This window comes from Homo sapiens, chromosome 2 (genome assembly GCF_000001405.40).
Source record: "Homo sapiens chromosome 2, GRCh38.p14 Primary Assembly".
In the NCBI taxonomy this organism is placed as follows: domain Eukaryota; kingdom Metazoa; phylum Chordata; class Mammalia; order Primates; family Hominidae; genus Homo; species Homo sapiens.
Window position 1 is genome coordinate 143,702,917 of NC_000002.12, and position 15,335 is coordinate 143,718,251.

The following is a 15,335-nucleotide window of genomic DNA, read 5'->3' on the forward strand; positions in this document are numbered from 1 at the left end:
CTCTAACTGATCATATCTGCAAAGTCCCTTTTGCCATGTGAGGTAACATAGTCACACATTCCAGGGATTCAGACACGGACATCTTTGGAAGGCCCTTGTTCACCCTACCACTCCTTGTAAAACAGGACATTTAAGAAAACCAAATGTTAAGATCAGGAAGATAATGTCAAAGTCACATTGTTGTTGCTTTCATGTTAAGATTATCTCACAGTACAGCCATTCTATCTACATTCAAAGAAGCAGAAAGGAGAAAAGGTACAAAGGCTAAAAGCTAATCAGTTCATACACAGCCTCCCAGAAGGCCTGCCACTGTCAAATTCAGAGTCAAAATAAAAAGAAACTCCTTAATAACCAGGTTGAGTCCACCTATTCCCTTTGACTACTGACTAGGACTCTTAGTTGCTAGTCTCAGTCCAAAATTTTCTCAAGAAAATTTTCTCATGTACCTGTACCTATGAAATCTTGTTTTTTCCCTAACCTTCCTTTTTATTTTTTTTTCCAGAAAAGCAAGACAACAACACAAGAATTGAAGCTGTAAAATCTCTTGTACAAAAACTCCCTCCGCCAAATCGTGACACCATGAAAGTCCTCTTTGGACATCTAACTAAGTAAGTTGTAAGGATTTCTGGATGTGTCATTTTATAGTCATTTCCTAAATGGGCAATATTGAATTTCACATCTCTAAGGCAAGAGTTTCCAAATGCGTACATCTCGTATTTTCCCTTGTAGCTGAACTAGGTCTTTCTGCAGAAGCTGGAGAATGTGTTAGGGATAGGAAGGACAATCTACAAAAGGAACTTCTGAAATAACTTATTTTTCAAGGCCCTTTCAACTAGTATATGTTTGCTGATTGCTTGTCAGAACCATCGCCTGGACCCTGGGATGGGTCATCTTGACTTTGTTATCTAACATAATGAAAGAACATGAAATGATTCAGACATGGATTCAAAACTCAGCCCCACCATGTACCACGTGCTGGGGCCACAAATAAGTTACTTAAACCCTCTGCAACCAATTTCCTCATCTGTAAAATGTTGGCTCAGATTGATAAGGTGCTATCCATGTAAATAGCTAAGAGAGGAGTCTTCCAGGAAAAAAAAAAAAAAAAGGCAAATGTAAAGCCCTAGAAGCCCCTAAGAGCTGGAAGTATTTGAAAAGCAGAAATTAAACCCGAACTGCTAGGCCCAAATGTGGAGGCAAGATGGGATCAGGAGCTGAAGTCCCAAGTATCACACTAGCATCAGATCACATAGGTTCTTGTGGTCCACAGTGAGAGATTTGGATTCTATTCTAAATTCAAGGAAGAACCACTGAAGAATGCTACAATTGAGGGAGTGTAAAAGATTGATCTGGCTGCTAAGTGGAGAATGCATTGCAAAGGTGAAGAGAGGAAGACCTAATGGCAGACAACCACAGTAGTACAGGCAGGAGATATTGGTGGCTTGAGTGGAGCCCTCAGAGAGAAATGGGTAGAGATATTGTGGAGATGGATCAGGCTGGACTTGCTGCTGGTTGGGATACCATTGGGAAAGGAAAGGAGAAATCAAGTGTGCAAATTTTGGGTTTCAACTTGGGCAAGTGAAGAAGCGATAGTATCGCAGAGATGGGTAAAACTGCAGAGAGGAACAAGTTGAGTAGGAAAAGCAGGTTTGAGAGCTCTATTTTGGACATGTTAAGTCTGAAATGACTGTTACTCATTTGCCTTCTGTTAACACCTTCTTCAGATAAGGCAGAGTGCAACGCAAGTTATGAGGTTTTAGCTTTCATGATATATGCATAGTAAAATTGAAGCCTGACAGAGGTTCAAATAGATTGAGCAGTTTTGCTTTTGTGAGATTAAATCTCCTTAAACACCTCAATCACTCATAATTTGGGATGAGTCATTCCTACAGATTATTCAACTAATCTATTACATGATTTTTCATTGTGAATGTAATACATGCAATTGCACCCCCCAAAATTAAGCAACAGTGATGCATTTACATTTAAAAACTGAAATCTGCCTACCACTCTTAGCCTGCTGAACAGAAGTAACTAACATTTTTGTATGTATCCTTCCTGACCTGTTCCTAAACACATGCAAACATATGTGTGTATGGTTGCTTCTAATGTTAAAGTACATCATATTGCACATATTATTATACAACTATTTTGTAACTCATATACAGACTTCTATTTCATTAAACAGACTTATCTTATTATTTCTAATGATGTCAATAGTATTTCATGGTATACACAGTCCATAACTTGCTAAACCAGTTCATTGCGTTAGGGAACATGTTTTAATCTGACTCATCATTTTCTGTCTTATTTTACTCTCAAAAGGGGAACTTTATCTTAAAGTTCAGAAAATCTCTTACTATTAGAGTGTTCCTTCTTGTCACTCCCACATACTGGCTACGGTGAGAAATCCAATGTGGTTTAGTGAAAGGATCTTGGGCTTTAAAGAAATAGAAAGAGAGACCTAGAGTCAAATCCTTGCTCTATGCTTTACTCCCATTATGATCTCAGGCAAGTAAAATCGGATTAAATACTATCAACCATATCTTGTGGTTATGAGAATTAAATGAGATAATGCATATAAAACGCCTGGCACAAGGTAAGCATTCCTCAAATGTTAATTCTTTTCCCTTAGGATCCAGACACACCATGAAAGCGGTTTCAAGTTACAAGTAAATACTGGAGTGCTTATCTCAGTAACTTTAACTGGACAAAGTCATAAAACAAATGGAAAAGTATACCCTTTAATGCTATGCAATACCTTGTCTTAAAGTTCTTGAGAAATATCCGTTACTCTGTCCCAATTATTCCCTTTTTTTTCAACTGAAGAAATAGCTATAAAATAAAGAAACTAAGAGTCAGCTAAATCCTCCTTCAAATAAAATAAATAAAACACACAGAAGAGAATCTATCTAGTTAAAAACCTTCAAAGGATGACGATCGTCCATGTCCAGGCCACATAATCCCAGTTTTAACAATTAATGCCTGATCCTGTTTTTTACATCCCAGTTAATTTCCTAATCTTGTCAGAACTTTCATTTAGTTCAATAGAGATGGAAATAGATGTTTTAAATTAAGATTTAAGATCAGATTATTATATCACTTCACAGTATTCACATTTTAAGATTGATTATTATACATGGGAAGAAGTGTTGTTTGCTAGCCACCAACCTTTCTTGGGTGGTATGACTATATTTCACCCTGTACCAATTTATAAACTGGGTTTAATTATGCACGAGTGTGTGCACACAATTATATCTTGTTAAGCATTTTTTTGCTAAGTTTTTGATAAACAGCCAATCGTGGCGTGTCATCAAAGCCTGAGAAGACTAAATAAGAAGATTGTTTAACAGGAATTTAAATATATTCGTGTTTGAAAGAATCATTAGAATGTTTTCCTTAGTCTTAATGCATTTGGTAGTTCTTCAGAAAATCTATCGTCAACCCTTGTATGTAGTGTTTATTCCAAATTGTTGCAAATATATATATTTTGAAGTTTGTTTAGTGAGGGTCAGGGAATGTAATGAAGTGCCAAAAATTCCACTTGACCTACGTACTCTACAGTCAACAGAAAAGCACTCCATTTTTGCAGAGCTCTGAGTTAAATGCACTCCTCAAAGCAGATCAGCTATCAACTGGGAAAGCTTAATGCGGCACAGTTGGACTAGAAGGTAAATGCAAATCCTATCCACAAAAGCCAGAATTTTTAAAGGATTGTGATTATATTAAGCATAAGGTTGCACAATGGCTGCACAGGCTGACTAGTCTCAGAGTCCAGAGTCTTCATTCTTAATCAAACTCAGGGTCAAGTTCTATGCATCTGCTATCATAGCTTAAGACCAGGAATTCGGAATAAGCTATCATCTCAAGATCCCGTCAGCCAGAAACCTTTATTAATAGCCATTTTCACAAACTGACATTACAGTGATAGGCCCTGGAAGGTCCTCTGGTACCTTCTGAATCATCATATAAATGGCAAAACTGTCTCTATAAAATACAAGTGTCAAATGCATTTTCCTATAGCCTGCTTCTTTGGAAAGGCAGAGAGGCAGAGTGAAGATGAAGTTAGTGGGAAGGAGGACCTAGCAAGATGGTTTACTTGCTGATGGATAGTAGCTGGTGGTTGAGAGCCAGTAAAGGGGTTAAATAATAACTAGGGAATCGTTAACCTTTTATGAACCAGAAAATTGCATGATGTGCTCAGTGTTAATGTAAGAGTCATCTGACAGCAGAGTATAGGATGAAAGAGGTAGAAAGAGGAGAGAACCCAGGAGGTCCCAGGGGAGTTGCAATTGGATTGGAGTGATGGACGTCAAAAGGAAAGAAATGGCCAAAATCTTGAGATTTTTCAAAGGAAAAGTCCACACAGTTTTCATTTGTCTCCCATATCCAGTCAGCCATAGAGATACATCTGAGATTTCAATGATAAGTACTTATGAAAATAGTCCCCCTGATAGCATTATTTTTAAAAGCAAAATGAGATATTGTTTAGAAGGGTGCTCTTTTCTCTGTTTTCCAAAAACAGACATGGGAAAGAAGATGACGAGGTTGTAGCAAACTAATGAAATAGGATGAATCCGATTTTGGCAGGTGTGTATTAATCAAGGCCTCTATATGCTGCTGGTTGGGATGGACAGCTAACATATCGGAAAACCCGTATATGCAATGTATCTCGAGAATGCAGACTTTTCAAAGTTTCATACCTTTAAAACCAGTCACATAGAGGTGAAAAGTTTATGCAGATAAAATTGTCCATGGTAGCACTGTTTGCAACAGTGAGCATTTGGAGACAATGTAAGTGTTCAGTGATAGGGGAGGGTTATGTAGAACAGGATACATCATATTGCCTTAGTAAAGTGTAGTTCATGGTTTTTATTTTCTTTCTGCTTCAACTTGGAGAAATGCTGTGTTAAATGTTAAATAAAATCAGAGATACAGTCTTTTGCATATTCAAAGAGAGCATAATTATAAATATGGGGGAAAAAGTTGTGAATGTAGAAAAGACTATAAAAATATTTACTAAAATGTTGATATTTCTTTGAGTTGTTGGATTGTGAGAGTTTCGTTCCTGTGTTTCTTTTTACCCCCTAATAATGGTATAGGAGGAGACATTGAAGTTAAGGGAACAAAGAAACCAGGCTTTGGAGTTAGGCTGATCTGAATGCAAGTCTTGGCTCTGCCACTTACTGGATGTATAACCTTGGCCAATTCATTCAACTCTAAGCTTCCATTTTGTCATCTGTCAAAGGGAGATTATAAAAGAACTTATTTCTGTAGTGAGAAGTATATGAATAATGCTTTTGAAGAGTCTTGCATAGTACTTAGCACCTAAGTATTAAATAAACATTTTACATCAATGTATTTTTTAAATGTATTATATTACATGTATTATTATTACAGTATTTTATAGTGAGGGTAATATAATTATTAATGAAATAAATATAGCAAGAATTACCAAGGCAGTGCAGGCTAAATTACTGCTAAATTTCATGATTTCCAGAAAAGTCTTTATCCCATCTCAGGATCTTTTTCCAAAACTTGAGTTTCCTTACTGTCCTGACTCAGCCAGTTTCCCAGAGTCCCAGTGAGACTATTTCACATGTTTGACAAGCTACATCACACCCCCATTCTCATACCCAATCCCCACTCTTTTCTGTCTCAGACACCCTGTCAGCCTGGCTGGCATATTGTCCCCTGGTCTTAGTTCCAACTCTTTTCACCCTCCAAGTGATAGTTTGCTAATGTGATCATCTAGTCTGCCGGCCTTTGGGGCAGGCATAAGGAAATTGGAAATAGGCACAGGTCTCTCTATGCCTCTTATGAAGAGCCTCCTCTGTTAGAAGAGTCTCCCTAATAGACTTCTAGTTCCCTTGCTTTGTTGTATAACTTCTCAGAGTGATTTTCATGATCAGAATTTCCTGCCAAGACAAACAGAACACCAGCTTTATGAAAGCCTGATAAGTAAGAGATTTTGAAGCCAGCAGGGCCATACTCTGTGTCCCAGTCACCAATATAAACACTCCTAGAATCTTATCAACTACATATCCACCTAGAATCTTATCAACTACATATTCACCTGGAATCTTATCAACTACTTATCCACCTAGGCCTGGTGCTGCCCTTTGGAAGTACTAGAACTTTTGTTGTCATGACTATTAGTATATTCTAGATATTGCTGAAGTCTTTTTCCATATTTTCATTTCCATGATAAAAATAATACATAATTATGGAAAATTTAGAAAATAAATAAAGTCTTTCCACAGAGCTAAATTTAACTAGTTGACCAGATTTCCTTTGTGGCATGCATTTTGCAAGCCAAAACAATCTCAAATTTGTGAGGGGGGTGTAAGGACTCAAAAGAACTTTTATGTACACATTATGCATGCACACATTACTCAGAGAAAATAAAATGTCTTAGAAATGGGCAACTTTTAATAATGACTTAGGAAGTAATGTTATTTGTTGATTTTTAAAAATAGCTTTGGAAGAATATATTTGCTGCAGATTTTACGTGCAAATAAACATTATTGTAGGAGACTTGCACTTTGTAAAATAGGTTGAAAGTTAAAATCTTCCCTTTTGCATTGACTCTAAGGAAGTTGTCCAGCTGTTCATAGAATTCCAAGGTGAAAAAATGATATGGCTGAATAGACAAATCTCATGGACTAATGCCAATTGAATGCCTCATTGAAAGTAGAAACTGTTGAGCCCCAGAAACTGTTGAGCTGGGGCTATTTTGTGAAAGTAAACCAATATTTAAAGCTTCTCTGTGGTCTTCATGGATATTAAATAAAATATTCTACAAAAGCATGTCAGAGGCAACTTAAATGATAATGACCTAGAAATATAAGGGTTGTATCAGAAAACAATGGAGACAAAATAATTCGTCCACCCTGTCTTTAAAATGACACTGTAGGTATTTCTGATGTTTTGGTGGGGAGAAATTAGATATGCTTAAAGAATGGACTTCAAAGCCCACAGCCATCACCCTTCTCTCTGGTCGTCAGGGGCCATGCTGGTGACGCTCTCTGCCTCCCATCCAGGCCTCTGAATGCTCAGCTCTGCTGTGCTTTTGAGCACGTTATGTTTTTCTGTGCTGTCTTCTGGCACTCCATTCTTTTTCTGTACACTTTGGTCTTTCACCCAACCACAATACCTGATATCCAAAGACTTGCAGACATGGATATTTTTACTGGAAAATGAGGAACCTGTGCAAATTATTATTTTCTTTTACTCTCTCTTTTCTTTTTTTTTCTCTTTTCCTGTGGGACACGGGTTGTGAGTTGTTTGAAATAAGCCAGAAGCTTCATAGCTCCTTTGCTTTTGTATTTGAAATGGCACCCTGATCACTTTAAAGAGCTAATGTACTTCCTATGGGCCTGAAATTTCTCAACTGGACTCCCATAGCAGAATTTGGCCTGGTAGTTAAGAAAATTAATTACTCTGATCGCGAGGGTGAAGCAATAGTTCCCAACTCCCCATAGTAATCATTAAAATGTCATCTACTTAGGAGACATCTTGGCATGGGATTTATAAGGTTTGTGAGCTGAGGACTAAGGTTCAGTGATCCTTCCAGCAGTGCCTCCTCGTTCTAGAGGAAGGCTGTGGGAGATAAGGTTTTAAGACGGGAGTGAAATTATTACTTTAGATCTTTAGATTTAACATTTGAATGGTAACATTCACCACTGAAAAATAGGAAACAACAAAACCTAAAGTTGCTACCATCCCATCTATCATTGTTGTCTCTATTGTTAAGTGATGGCCAACTGTATGAGGGTATTTCCCTCATGAGAGGTAAAATTTTTAAGTTGCCCCACCCTTCTCTACTATGAATCTTGGCCTTTAACCTAATGGAAAGAATTTGGAATCAGAAGACATAGTCTCAGGCCCCATTCTCAGCCCTTAGAAACTGTACAACATTGAGAAAATCTTTCAAAGTCTGTAACCGTCCCTTTTGTTCAGGTGTTAATTAAGTCAAATAAATTCATATTTGTGAAAATGTTTGGTAACTGTAAAATTCTACCTACAAATTCCTTCAGGAAGTCTCAAATGAGTGCCTGCTATATTCCAGACCTGAACAAAATCAGGGGTTGGAAAAGTGTGGCCCACAGGCCACACTCAGCCTGCCTCCTGTTTTTGTCAATAAAGTTTTATTGAAACACACATCTATTTGTTTATGTTTTGCCTATGGCTGCTTTCATGCTACAAAGGCAAGAGGTCACAATAAGTCATAACAAGGTACACAAGGCCAAAAATATTTACCATCTGACCCTTCACAGAAAAAAATTGCTGACCCTTCAACTCAATGTTAAATGCATAAAGAGGATTCCTACCCTCACGTATCTTATCGTCTCCTGAGGCAGATAAATTAGTAAACAATTATAATAAACATGATGCAATATCTAAAATGCTAGGAGAATTCTAGGCAGCAGCTGAAATTTAGCTTAGAAAAATCAAAGGATGCCCCCCAGAGGACATGAAACAAGCTATCTTTAAGGATGTTGGCTTGGCAGACAACAGACCTACTGTAGGGAGAGAGAATACTCTGTACAAGAACATGGAAGAGAACTGCAATGTGGTAAAGAAATGGTGAGTCCTCTGGAAGGATTAGAGAATTAGGAATTATAAAGAGAATAAACAGTGGCAGATTATGAGCCTCTAACGTTGTAAACAAGTTAAATTGTGAAGAATACCATACAGTCTGATAAGGAGCTTGAAATTCTTTCTGTAGGCTAAGCACTGTCGCTCACTCATTTAATCCTAGCACTTTCAGCGGTTGAGGAGGGAGGATAGCTTGAGCTCAGGAATTCCAGATCAGCCTGGGCAACATAGTGAGAACTCATCTCTACAAAACATTAAAAAATTAGCCAGACATTGTGGCATGCATCTGTAGTCCCAGCTACTCAAGTGGCTGAGACAGGAAGATCACTTGAGCCCAGGAGTTCGGAGGCTACAGTGACCTATGATTTTGCCAATGCACTCTAGGCAACAAAGCAAGATCGTGTCAAAAAACAAAAACAAAACAAAACAAAACCTGTAGACATTAGGAAAATCACTGAAGGATCTCAAGTGGAGAGGTAAGGTAATGAAATTTGTATTCATAAAGACCACAGTTTTTATAAGAGTGAAGGACAGCTTGTAGAAGGGCAACACCAGAAGTAGGGAAAACAGTAGAATGCTGGTATAGTAGTCCAAGCTAGAGATCCCCAGCTAAGGGAGTGATAGGGAGAATGGGGGAAAGTGATGGATACAAGAGGCATTGAAGCAGTAGATGCAACAGAACATGTGCACCAAGTACATGCGAGAGGTTAGGAAGACGAAGGATTCCAGGATGGCACCCAGATTTTGAATTAGCTGAATGGTGATATCCTTAACTTACATTTCACATAGGAAAAGGACCAAACTGGAGGCATGAAAAAAGCAGAAATTTTGTTAACATAATGTGACTTGCTCATTGTTATATTCTATTAGCAAAATCCAGTCAAGGATAAGATATATATGTTTGGAATGCAAGAAAGGTGATTGAGATCTAGGGACAAATTTTGGAGTTGTTGGTTTAAAGATGGCAATGGGGTAAGGTCATGAATGCCTCCAAGGGACCGTGTGAACCCAGAAGAGAGTCAAGGGTGAACCCAGAAGAGAATCAAGGACAGATTCCTAGAGACTTCTAACATTGAATGGATGGTCAGAGAAAGAGATAACAGAAAAGGAGTCTGAGAATGGCACGCATATTGATAGAAAAAACATTTGGCAAGAGCAAAGGTATATTTTGTGATGAAAACTACTCATTACACAAGGAACACCTAGAATAACCTCAGCTTAACAGGACACTGGGCAGAATTTATAACAATGACCAGTTACTGTTCTTACCTTCACCCTTCAGCTTTAAAAAAAAAAAAACCCACAGGAATAAGTATAATCTAGCAGGAAAAAAAATGATATTCTATAGCATAGCCAGGTCCTGAAAATATAAAGAACTAACCTGGCTTCTTCTGCTCTTAGAGCACTGGCTCCAGAAGGGCAGAAATTTGTGTCATTTTGATTCCTGCTATATCCCCTAGCACCGTGTCCTACATAGATACTCAATAATTTTTGTTGAACAAATGGAATCGCGTTACTTCATTGAACAAGATGATAATCTAATAGCCAGTGAGTGGTTCCAGGTAACATCAACTACGTAAGCCTAGTGTATTAGTCCATTTTCATGCTTCTGATAAAGACATACCCAAGGCTGGGAAGAAAAAGAAGTTTAATTGGACTTACAGTTCCACGTGGCTGAGGTGGAGAGACCTCAGAATCATGGCGGGAGGCAAAAGACACTTCTTATATGGTGGCAGCAAGAGAAAACAAAGAAGAAGCAAAAATGGAAACCCCTGACAAACCTGTCAGATCTTGTGAGACTTATTCACTATCACAAGAATAGCACGGGAATGACCAGCCCCCATGATCCAATTACCTCCCGCTGGGTCCCTCCCATAGCACGTGGAAATTCTCAGAGATACAATTAAAGTTGAGTTTTGGGTAAGAACACAGCCAAACATATCATTCCATCCCTGACCCTCCAAATCTCATGTCCTCATATATCAAAACCAATCATGCCTTCCCAACAGTCCCCCAAAGTCTTAACTCATTCCAGCATTAACCCAAAAGTCCACAGTCCAAATTCTCATCTGAGACAAGGCACGTCACTTCTGCCTATGAGCCTATAAAATCAAAAGCAAGCTAATTACTTCCTAGATACAAAGAGGGTACAGGTATTGAGTAAATAGAGCCATTCCAAGTGGGAGAAATCAGCCAAAACAAAGGGGTTACAGGCCCCCATGCAAGTCCAAAATCCAGTGGGGCAGTCAAATTTTAAAGCTCCAAAATGATCTCCTTTGACTCCAGGTCTCACATTCAGGTCATGCTGATACAAGAGGTGGGTTCCCATGGTCTTAGGCAGCTCTGCCCCTGTGGCTTTGCAGGGTACAGCCTCCATCCTGGCTGCTTTCATAGGCTGGCATCGAGTGTCTGCAGCTTTTCTAGACAGACAGTGTAAGCTGTTGGTGGATCTACCATTCTGGGGTCTGGAGGATGGTGGCCCTCTTTTCTCATAGCTCTACTAGGCAGTGCCCCAGAAGGGACTCTGTGTGGGGACTCTGACCCCACATTTCCCTTCCGCAATGCCCTAGCAGAAGTTCTCCATGAGGACCCTGCCCCTGCAGCAAACTTTTGCCTAGGCATCCAGGTGTTTCTATACATCTTAAATCTAGGCAGAGGTTCCCAAACCTCAATTCATGACTTCTGTGCATCCACAGGCTCAACACCACATAGCTGCCAAGGCTTGGGGCTTCCACCCTCTGAAGCCACAGCCCAAACTCTACGTTGGCCCCTTTCAGCCATGGCTGGAGTGGCTGGGATGCAGGGTACCACATCCCTAGGCTGCACACAGCACAGGGACCCTGGGCCCAGCCCATGAAACCACTGTTTCCTCCTGGGCCTCTGGGCCTGTGATGGGAGGGGCTGCCATGAAGGTCTCTGACATGGCCTGGAGACATTTTTCCCATGGTCTTGGGGATTAACATTAAACTCCTTGCTACTTATGCAAATTTCTGCAGCTGGCTTGAATTTCTCCCCAGAAAATGGGTTTTTCTTTTCTACTCATTATCAGGCTGCAAATTTTCTGAACTTTTATGCTCTGTTTCCCTTCTAAAACAGAATGCTTTTACAGCACCTAAGTCACCTTTTGAATGCTTTGCTGCTTAAGAATTTCTTCCACCAGATACCCTAAATCATCTCTCTCAAGTTTTAAAATTTCACAGATCTCTAGGGCAGGGGCAGAATGCCACCAGTCTCTTTGCCAAAACATAACAAGAGTCACCTTTGCTCCAGTTCCCAAGTTCCTCATCTCCATCTGAGACCACCTCAGCCTGTATCTTATTGTTCATATCACTATCAGCATTTTTCTCGAAGCCATTCAACAAGTCTTTAGGAGGTTCCAAACTTTCCCACATTTTCCTGTCTTCTTCTGAGCCCTCCAAACTGCTCCAACCTCTGCCTGTTACCCAGTTCCAAAGTCACATCCACATTTTTGGATATCTTTTCAGCAACGCCCCACTCTATTAGTACCAATTTACTGTATCAGTCCATTTTCAAGCTGCTGATAAAGACATACTCAAGACTGGGAAAAAAAAAAGAGGTTTAATTGGACTTACAGTTCCACATGGCTGGGGAGGCCTCAGAATCATGGCAGGAGGTAAAAGGTACTTCTTACATTGTGGAGGCAAGAGAAAATGAGGAAGATGCAAACACAGAAACCCCTGATAAACCCATCAGATCTTGTGAGACTTATTCGCTATCACGAGAATAGCATGGGAAAGACCAGCCCCTGTGATTCAATTACCTCCCACTGGGTTCCTCCCACAAGACATGGGAATTCTGGGAGATACAACTAAAGTTGAGATTTCGGTAGGAACACAGCCAAACCATATCACCTGGAATCTTAGAAACTTGGTATTTTCAGACTAGTACTAGGAAATATTCCATCTTAAGGGTATTGGTAAGCAAGTTCTTCCTCTCAAGTTTATCTCCCCTCACCTGATATTTTTCTTTTCATCCTGACAAACAAGCAGAGCTCTTCTGATTATAAAAATAATAATACTTTTAATGGGGCTGTTTGTTTTTCTTGTAAATTCGTTTAAGTACCTTATAGATGCTGTATATTAGACCTTTGTCAGATGCAGAGATTGCAAAAACTTTCTCCCATTCTGTAGGTTTTCTGTTCACTCTGATGATAGATTCTTTTGCTGTGCAGAAGTTCTTTAGTTCAATCAGATCCAATTTATCAATTTTTGCTTTTGTTGCCATTGCTTTTGGCATCTTCATCATGAAATCTTTACCCGTGCCTATGTTCTGAATGGTATTGCCTAAATTTTCTTCTATGGTTTTTATAGTGTGGGGTTTTACATTTAAGTCTTTAATCCATCTTGAGTTTATTTTTAAATATGGTATAAAGAAGGGGTCCAGTTTCAATTTTCTGCATATGGCTAGCTAGCACTATTTATTAAATAGGGAATCCTTTCAACACACATTGGGGCCTGTTGGAAGGTTGTGGGGGTGTGAGATGGTGGATGGGAGGAAGGAGAGCATCAGGAAGAATAGCTAATGGCTGTTGGGCTTAATACATAGGTGATAGGAAGATCTGTGCAGCAAACCACCATGGCACACGTTTAACTATGTAACAAACCGGCACATCCTGCATAGTTACTCCTGAACTTAAAGGCTGGAAAAAAGAGATACTCTTAATATTAAGACTGCATGTTAAAAGGGTGCAAGCACTACAATGAATGAGTTCTAAAAGAGGCTGGCCACACCAAGGGAGACTCAGTCAGGGAATCTGTGACCACCCATCAGTGATGGGTGGAGCCTATTAGATCAATTACTGCAGTACATAGTAAAATTGCCAGTTCTTCTGGTTTCTTATCTGGGATTAGTAGCAGATCTTGAAATACAAAAATTTATTTCTACATCTTCTGTCATAATTCTCACTACTAAATAACTTCTACCACTTCTAGCTCCTATCAGGTCAACCCCAACTTCCTTGTCTATCATTTGAGATCCAATATTGCCATACTACCTTGAATTATTTAGCATCAGCTGAAGAAAAAAAAAATCACCTTGACTTAAAAAGCTTGCCCTCTGCTTTTAAGTGTATAAAGAAATTTGGTTCCCTTGTTTTATGGAGCAAACTTCAAAGTGGAAGGGAGAAAAAAATCAAGCAGACCTCAAGTCACCTGATTTCCAGTCCACTAAACCACACTCTGCTTTCTTGCCAATACCAATACTCGATTGTGTTTCCAGGGAAGAAGGAATGGTAAAACAAAGAGTGAGAAAGCTGAGCCAACTGTGATAGAGGCACAGGCCAATCCCTCAGACTCCTTTTTTCTAATTGAACACCAGATATAATCCCAGCCCTTTAAATAAAATTACCTAATTAATCCTAATTAATTAGTGAGCCCTTATATTTATAGAAGGGGTTTTCTTAGTGTCTGTCTTCTCACCCTCCCCACTTCCCTGCCTCTACTACATTTCTTTCCATCTAAAAAGAAAAGTTTCATTTTTAGGGGTCCTTTTTAAAAACAATTTCCATGTCAACATTTATTAATGCTTGTGTGTGTGCATGCATGCCTGCATATATACACTTAGAGCACGTTTTTTTAGAAGGCAGTAATGGTGCTGCCTTTTATCACCTTCTTTCTCCTCTTTAAATGGAAAGCACTGAACCCAGATGCCCAACCACGGAAGATATTCTTCCAGAAGCAGCATCTGGCTTCCTGGCAAGCCCTTCAGGCAAGTTGTTTGGGGAGCATTGCTGTTGTCTCTCGGTCTGTCACGTGTATCAGATACCGTGGCCTCTCTGGCTGGCATGTCCCGGTAGCTGCCAATTCCTTTCAGTTCACCTTTAATTCTGAGAAACTAGTTTCCTCATTTTCATTTCTTACTGGACTTATTTTTCTCCCCACTGCCCATAGGAATTCCAGGACAAACCTAAGTCCTCACTGCTTTCTGCCTGTCAAGCTCCTTTCCAGACCTCCGTCTTTTGAACCCAAATGAAAACCTCAGCCATTTACTCCTACATTAAAATAGGTTATTTTAAATAATATTTCTTAGCCACTTCTTGTCAGCAAAGCTCCTTGTAAACTGTGGAGTTGTTCCCTGAAAAGAAAAACAAAACATTCCATCCGAGTCATTTATTCTGGTCTGTACACAAGACATGAAAGTGTTCTTGACATTTGTGTATTATTTAGTTAAATCGTATTGGCTCCCTACATCCTTGTCACACCATGAACAAAAGAGCATCACGGGGCTGGGAAAGACGAGACCATGCTGCAGTTAGTCAAGGCTGTGCAGCCTTTACACATAGCACCCGCTCCAGGAAACTGCATTTCTTAAAGTGGCTTTTTTTTTTTTTTACCTGTTAATATATATTTTTTAATTGTGAAGGATCTTCTGGGGTTTTTTATGGATAATTGTTAAGAACACAGAGTCCGATGGTAGCCCACGCAACAGGAAGCCGTGACAAGGTGCTGACAAGTCCGGCAGCAGTACCCAGAATGCAGAGGAGAAAGCAGAAATTAGAGCTGCAGGGTGACATCCAGGAATACTTAACACAGGGTATCTGCAAATTTTCATGTCGTTGGGGTTTTTTTTTCTCATGCAAGAAAAAAGTACATATTATATATGAGATTTCAGTTCTCAAGACTGTAATGTCTAGGCTGAGAAAAGGCTGAAGTTGAGCAATGGACAGGAGGAAATCTCAGCCATAAATAATATTTTGTCTGTAGCTAGTAGCAGAC

At 39.4% G+C, this 15,335-nt stretch overlaps 1 protein-coding gene and 1 long non-coding RNA gene across 13 annotated transcripts in view; one reads left to right on the forward strand and one right to left on the reverse strand.

The window, feature by feature from the left end:
- Window positions 1-15,335, forward strand: part of ARHGAP15 (Rho GTPase activating protein 15) — a 638,934-nt gene that overhangs the window by 573,498 nt on the left and 50,101 nt on the right. For 7 of the 9 annotated variants that reach the window (NM_018460.4, XM_017004500.3, XM_011511482.3 and 4 more), the window contains one exon: window positions 503-608. In NM_018460.4, coding sequence (NP_060930.3) covers window positions 503-608 — 106 coding nt within the window. Of the gene's footprint in view, window positions 1-502; window positions 609-2,635; window positions 2,898-15,335 lie in introns of those variants that run through there. The other 2 variants (XR_007078554.1, XM_047445109.1) reach the window with 2 other exon arrangements.
- The window catches only part of ARHGAP15-AS1 (ARHGAP15 antisense RNA 1), a 135,343-nt gene that overhangs the window by 62,161 nt on the left and 57,847 nt on the right, over window positions 1-15,335 (reverse strand). The gene's annotated exons all lie outside the window — the stretch shown is intronic.